At 36.6% G+C, this 6926-nt stretch overlaps 1 pseudogene; it reads left to right on the top strand.

Annotated features, from left to right (window-relative positions):
* Positions 2960 to 4078, top strand: SLC10A5P1 (SLC10A5 pseudogene 1; annotated as a pseudogene).

The raw sequence follows: 6926 nt of genomic DNA, 5'->3' as shown, positions 1-6926 counted from the left end.
CTCTGTAGTTAATTTTCAGGTAAAGTGATTCCCTAGTTTTGTTATTTTTGCTCAGGATTGCTTTGGCTATTCTGGATCTTTTGTGGTTCCATATTAATTTTAGAGTTTTTTTTTTCTGTTTCTGTGAAGAATGTTATTGATATTTTGATAGGGACTGCACTGAATTTGTAGATTGTTCTGTGTAGCATCAACATTTTAATAATATTGTTTCTTCCAATTCATGAACATGGAATATTTTTCCATTTTTTGTGTCCTCTTCAATTTCTTTCATCGATGTTTTATAGTTTTCACAGAGAGATTGTCCTTATCTTTGGTTATATTTATTCCTATGTATTTTATTTTATTTGTAGCTATTATAAATGGAATCACTTTCTTGATTTCTTTTTCATATTGTTTGATGTTGTCTTATAGGAATGCTACTGATTATTGTATATTGATTTTCTATCCTCAAACTTTACTGAATTTGCTTATCAGTTTGAATAGTTTTTTGGTGGAGTCTTTAGGTTTTTCCAAATATAAGTTCATATCATCTGCAAATAAGGATAATTTGACATCTTTCTTTCCAATTTGGATACACTTTATTTATTTCTCTTGTCTGATTGCTCCTAGCTAGGACTTCCAGTACTATATTGAATAATAGTGGTGAAAGTGGGCATTCTTGTTTCAGATCTCCTCATTCAGACTGATACTAGCTGTGGGTCTGTTATATATGACTTTTCTTGTGTTGAGGTGTGTTCCTTGTGTACCCAGTTTTTGAGGGTTTTTTATCATGAACTAGCTTTTCTACTTCTTTAAGATGCATTGTTAGGTTGTTTATTGGAAGTTTTTTCACTTTTTTTGATGTAGGTGCCTATAGTTGAGTTTTATCAAATGCCTTTAAGCATCAATTAAAATGATCATATGATTTTGTCCTTCATTGTGTTGATATGATTTATCACACGGAATGATAGTGTATACTGAAACATCCATTTAGCCAGTCTCTGTGTTTTGGTTGGAGAATTTAGTCCATTTATATCCCATGTTATTATTAATAGGTAAGGATTTAATACTGTCATTTTCTTATTTATTTTCTGGTTGTTTTGTGGTCTTCTCTTCATTATTTCCTTCTTTCCTGTCTTCCTTTTTATGAAAGTGATTTTCTTTGGTGGCATGTTTTAATTTCTTGCTTTTTATTTTTTGTGTAACTTTGTAGTTTTTTTATTTTTTAATTTAATTACCATGAGGCTTGCAAATAACATCTTTTTTTTTTTTTTTTTTTGAGATGGAGTTTCTCTCTTGTTGCCCAGGTTGGAGTGCAGTGGTGCAATCTTAGATAACTGCAACCTCTGCCTCCCAGGTTCAAGCAATTCTTCTGCCTCAGCAGGAGGCAAACATTGGAGAAGATTTTTACTGTATACTTACCTGCATTTTTAATTGTGTGAAAATATTATGTATTAAAAATTATATTTAGAGAAATATATACAAAGATTTTATATGAATCTTGCATCAGAAAAAACAAGTTTTAAGGCCCCCCCTAAATGCCAGTTTGGCAAAGGTGACATTGAAGTGGGATTTTTTGGTGCCTCTGATTTGGGATTTTATCACTATTGTTATATTACTCAGGTCAAATCATAAGTAAAGACTAGGAATTAAAAGGAAAGAAAGGCATTAGCTATCTTTTTGGAAAGAAAATCTGCAAGTATTAATTGATTCAAAATTGCTACTTAAATATAAATACATGTGTTTATCCGTTATAAAGATGTTATAAAGTTGTTCAAGTTATTCTCTTATATTCCCAAATCTCTATTGTGTCTTTAGCCATTCCATTTCATTTTTAATAATTGTCATTTGTAGTTTTCTTTCTTTCCCCTTTAAACAGTACAGTTAGAGGTTCATCTTTATTTTTTGTCAGTCTTTTCAAAGAAACATATATCAGTTTTATTCCCCTATTGTTTCATTGCTTTCTGTTTCACTAATTTCTACTTTTTTTTTTTTTTTTTTTTTGAGATGGAGTCTCGCTCTGTCATCCAGGCTAGACTGCAGTGGCGCAATCTCGGCTCACTGCAACCTCCACCTCCCGAGTTCAAGTGATTCTCCCACCTCAGCCTCCCAAGTAGCTGGGATTACAGGCACTTGCCATCATGCCCGGCTAATTTTTGTATTTTTCTCGAGACAGGGTTTCACCATGTTGGCTGGGCTGGTCTTGAACTCCTGACCTCAGGTGATCCACCAGCCTTGGCCTCCCAAAGTGTTGGGATTACAGGCGTGAGCTACTGTGCCTGGTCAATTTCTGCCCTTGTATTATCTCCTTCTGTCTGCTGTTTAAAAAGATTTTATCTGATGTTCTTTTTCCAATTCCTCAAATAGGATGGGAAACTTACTGTTTTTAATTTACTTATTTGGATGTGATTTTTTATGATCTTTATTTTGATACCATTTAAAACACAGGCAAGTTCCAAACATAGTACATATAACTTTTCCATAGACTTTACCCAAATGCACCAATTATTTACCTTTGTCCTGTTTGTTTTATCATTTGCAGTCCCCCTCTGTCCATATGTATGCACATATTGATGTGTGTGTGCTTGTGTGTGTGTGTACTTAACTAGTTTTTGGTCAACTTGATCTATCAGTTTTTGAGACAGATGTGTTAAAATCTCCCACTATTGTGGTTTTATTCATTTTATTCTTATAATTCTAATGGTTTTGCTGAGTAGTATATTATTAGGTGCATAGAATTTCTGCATTTATATGCTCTTTATGAATGTTGCCTTAAATCCTATTTTGAATTATAATAATATCATTTCACTAGCTTTTTTTTGGTGAATATTTAACTATTATGTCTTGTTTTTGTCCCTTTATATTCAACTTTCCTGTGTTGTTTGTTTTAGGATGTCTGTTATAAGCAGCATATAGCTGGACTTTGTTTTTTAAATCCAGTTTTGTAGTGTCTCTCTTTTATAGATGAACTGAACCCTTTATTTGACCAAGAAGATATCATCATATGTTATAAACTGTACCATAAATCTGGTGACTGATGAAGAAGGAGAAACAAATGTGACTATTCAATTCTGGGATTCTGAAGGTAGGCAAGAAAGACTCATTAAAGAAATCAAGAATGTGAAAGTCAAAGTACTCAGACAAAAAGACAGTCTTCTCCAGGCACCAATGCATATTGACAGAAATATCCTAATGCTTATTTTACTACTAATACTGTTGAATAAATGCACATTTAGTTGCAATATTGAATTACAGGTGTTTCAAACAGCATTGAAGAGACCTTTGCCAGTAATTCTTGGGGCAGTTACACAGTTTTTTTTTGATGCCATTTTGTGGATTTCTTTTGTCTCAGATTGTGGCATTGCCTGAGGCACAAGCTTTTGGATTTGTAATGACCTGCACGTGCCCAGGAAGGGTGGGGGCTGTCTCTTTTCTCTGCTTCTAGACGGAAATTTCACATTGGCCATTTTGATGACTTGCACATTAACATTATTGCCCCGATCACGATGCCTGTCAATTTTACACATACAGTAAGATATTAGGGTTGTCAGGTACATTTCATATTCCTATTTCTAAAATTGTGTCAACACTCCTTTTCATACTTTATCAGTATCTGTTGAAATAGTCATCAAGCGTAGAATACCTGAAAGAGCAAACTTCTTAGAGAGAATAATTAGACCTCTGAGTTTTATTTTAATGTTCATAGGGATTTATTTGACTTTCAGAGTGGGATTAATGTTTCTAAAAACAGATAACCTAGAGGTGCTTTTGTTGGGTCTCTTAGTTCCTGCTTCACATTTCTCATTTGGGCACTTTTTTGCTAAAGTTTGTATGCTGTGTCTTCTTGTTTATAAAACTGTTGCTATTGAAAGTTGGTTGTTAAATAGTTTCTTAGTCCTGGCCATTATTCAGCTGTCTTTTCCAAGTCCAAGGCAAACTTAGCCTCTGTGGCTCCTTTTACAGGAGCCATGTGTTCTGGATGTGAAATGTTACTGTTCCTTTTGGTCTTACAAGGCTAAGAAAAGCTGTACCCTTATCTTAGAAGATAAGAGAAAAAGAAATTGCCTAGCTTAACAATTAAAGCATTGCCGAATTCCTACTCAGGCACTGTGGAGAGTCAAAGAGTAACTAAAATGATGTCCATTCATAAGCCACTTATGAGCTGATAAAAAAGTTGACATGGGGTGAGGAAGAATACATGTGTATATATACCCAACACCATAAATGTTAAGCATCCAAAGAGTGCTTCCAACAGTAGAATGCTACACAGGAGTTCAGAGGAAGGCGGTAACTTTTCAGTTGTGTTGGTTTGAGAATGTTTTATGGAGTACAAGGTGAATATGATACTTTATTATGGTAGCAAAACGTAAGATCTTATTAGCTATCCTGGACACTCCACCCCTGACCAGCTGCCATGGTGTATATATAATTATATTAGGTCAGAGTCCACTTAAATCATTAACTATTAACTGAGAATATCATGGCATGTAGAAGCTAAAACTTTTTTTTTAATGAAGAGAGAGGTCATTTAAAAGAAGTCAACTCCAAAGACTAAGTGCAGTTGACAAGATGCCTATGATTTCTGGGGAGGGAAATTGCCCACTCATTCCTGTGGCGGCCTCTCTTTATTATGCAAATACAGGGCAAGTAAGCACTGTCATCCTTGCCTTTGGGAAAGGATAACAGACCTTCTTGTGGCTTCACAGGGCCACCCTTCCCTAGAACTCTCTTCTGTATGCTCAGCTGTCTGGGGAGGTGTCAGGGGCATTGGATCTCACCTCTCTTTCATTCTGAGGTTCAGCGTAATTACAACCTCTCTCACAGATGGGAGTCAGCTGACAGGAAAGGATACCAAAGGCCTCCAAGAGGGAGCTTCCCTTAGGGAAGGTTGAAAGAGTGAGGAGCTGGACATCATGCCAGGAAGCAGAGTTTGTGCTGCTGTCCCCTGCCCCCGACAACACCTGGGCACGGCAGACGTTCTTAGGATTAGGAACAGTGGCTGCAGATGGGACCAGAGTTTTAGATACTGCCCCTTTGGGAACTCAGAGGTAGTGCATCCTGTACTGAGGTCTCTGCAACTTTCTGAACTACTTTCACAATATTGGACCAAAGATCCTTTGGATTTGTGAGACCAGTTTGCAGCTTTACCACAATCAAATCTGAACACTAAGACTTCCCTGTGTACCGACAGATTTTGCATTTCACTTTCAGTAGGCATTTGGAAGCAGAACGGCCTCTTTGGACTGAAAAAATCTAGGTTACCTGACAACAATTGTGAGGCAGATGCTAAGGTCTCTAGAAAAATACTAGGCTTCTTGCTCACCTGACACAGGTAATTTGAAATGTTATCATTTGAAGGAATAAGATAGGTGATATTGAATCTCTCTTGCTTCAAATTGATTATACTGATTTTAGCAGCTTTGCCAAATCACTGGGACCACATTCATTTAAAAAGGTTAAAAGATGATGGATGACATTTCTGCAAAAGCCTGGAAATTTTTATTTAGTTATGAATTAACACTTGTCATCATGCAGTTGGCAAGATTTTTAAGATGATTGACAATGAAGAATGAAATAGCTAGTTTCTGAAAGCTTGTCTTTAAAACAAAACAAAAAATCATTTAATAGGCAAATAGAGATATCCAAACCAGATACCTAGGCATCATTCTTTAGACAATTAAAGACAAGTTTCTTGCTCTTTGTGGGGTGTGGGAATTGGGTCCACAGTTCATATCATTAATCTCTGGGAAGTGTTTCATTGGCAACATGATTGTGACAACATCTTGTCCTTAGATTAAATGAAGAGAAACAATCACTTCCTAAGCAAGGAGCCAAATAGCTCACTTTTCTGTTCCTGCTGTGGCTGGGACATCTTATATCTGTGCAACAGTTTTTGCATGATGATGATGTATGTACCACGATGCTGCCCCTTCAAGAAGAGGAAACATTTTAAGGACCATAAACTAGTCCTTGTACCTCGTATAATGCAACCTCCTTGTGCCGTACATTCTCTGCGTGAGGACTTTTGTAGGACCAAAAGGAAAATTTCCCTTTGTTCTCTGAATGCTTGCTGAAAATCAACTGACAAAAGACAGATTAATAGGAGAGAAGGGTACAAATTTATTTGATCATAGTTTTAAGTGACATGGGAGCCTTCAGAATGAAGACCCAAGATACAGGGGAACAGTCCATTTTTATGTTTAGGTTCAAACAAAGTATAACCAGCTGTGTAGAAATAGGATTGGACCAAAAGTGTATAGTGTAATGCAAATAGACTGAGTGGGGAAACCCAGCAAAGCCTGTCTGTTTAGATTTTATTTGGCCTCTCTGTGGTGCATTCCTTCCTTCTGTGCATTGGGCAAGACCCTCTGTGGAATGGGGGTCTTGAGACCTACAGTCAGAAAAAGTGGGTTGGATAATTTCTTTATGGTCTGTTTTTACGCGAAAAATTGGGGAGATTAGAATAATATTTTTGGGTTTCTAGGACCTGCCTTGGGGAAGAAGAATTCCAGTTTCTAAGGCAAGCCTTGAGGGAGAATGTGGGGCCAGAGACAGGAAGGCAAGAGGCTTCAAATAACTTTTTTTCTGTGAGGCTGCTTCTGAGGACTTCATTTTGGGGTGTCGTTTTCTGAGCCCCAACACTTTGGAGTCAGTGTGTTTCACTGCTCTGCTCTTGCTGTGTGACCTGTGACCTGTGTGAGGACAAATCATTTACCTTCTCTGAGCCTCAGTTTCTTCATCTGTGTGATGAAGCTAATTATACGTACCTCAGGCAACGTTTAACAAAAATAATGCATATAAAAACACAATTGCTGAAAGCATAGTAAGTCCTCGATAGGTGGTATCTAAATATATCACTGAGAAAAAGGGCAGTTAGTTCTGGCTACTGACTATTAAAAAAAATTAATATAAGTTTACCAGGTAATGCTTTGGCAAATAAAAGCTGC

The sequence above is a fragment of the Homo sapiens genome, chromosome 8 (genome assembly GCF_000001405.40).
Source record: "Homo sapiens chromosome 8, GRCh38.p14 Primary Assembly".
Classification (NCBI taxonomy): Eukaryota; Metazoa; Chordata; class Mammalia; order Primates; family Hominidae; genus Homo; species Homo sapiens.
Note: the sequence above shows the minus strand (reverse complement) of the source record. Positions and strands in the feature narration are given on the sequence as shown.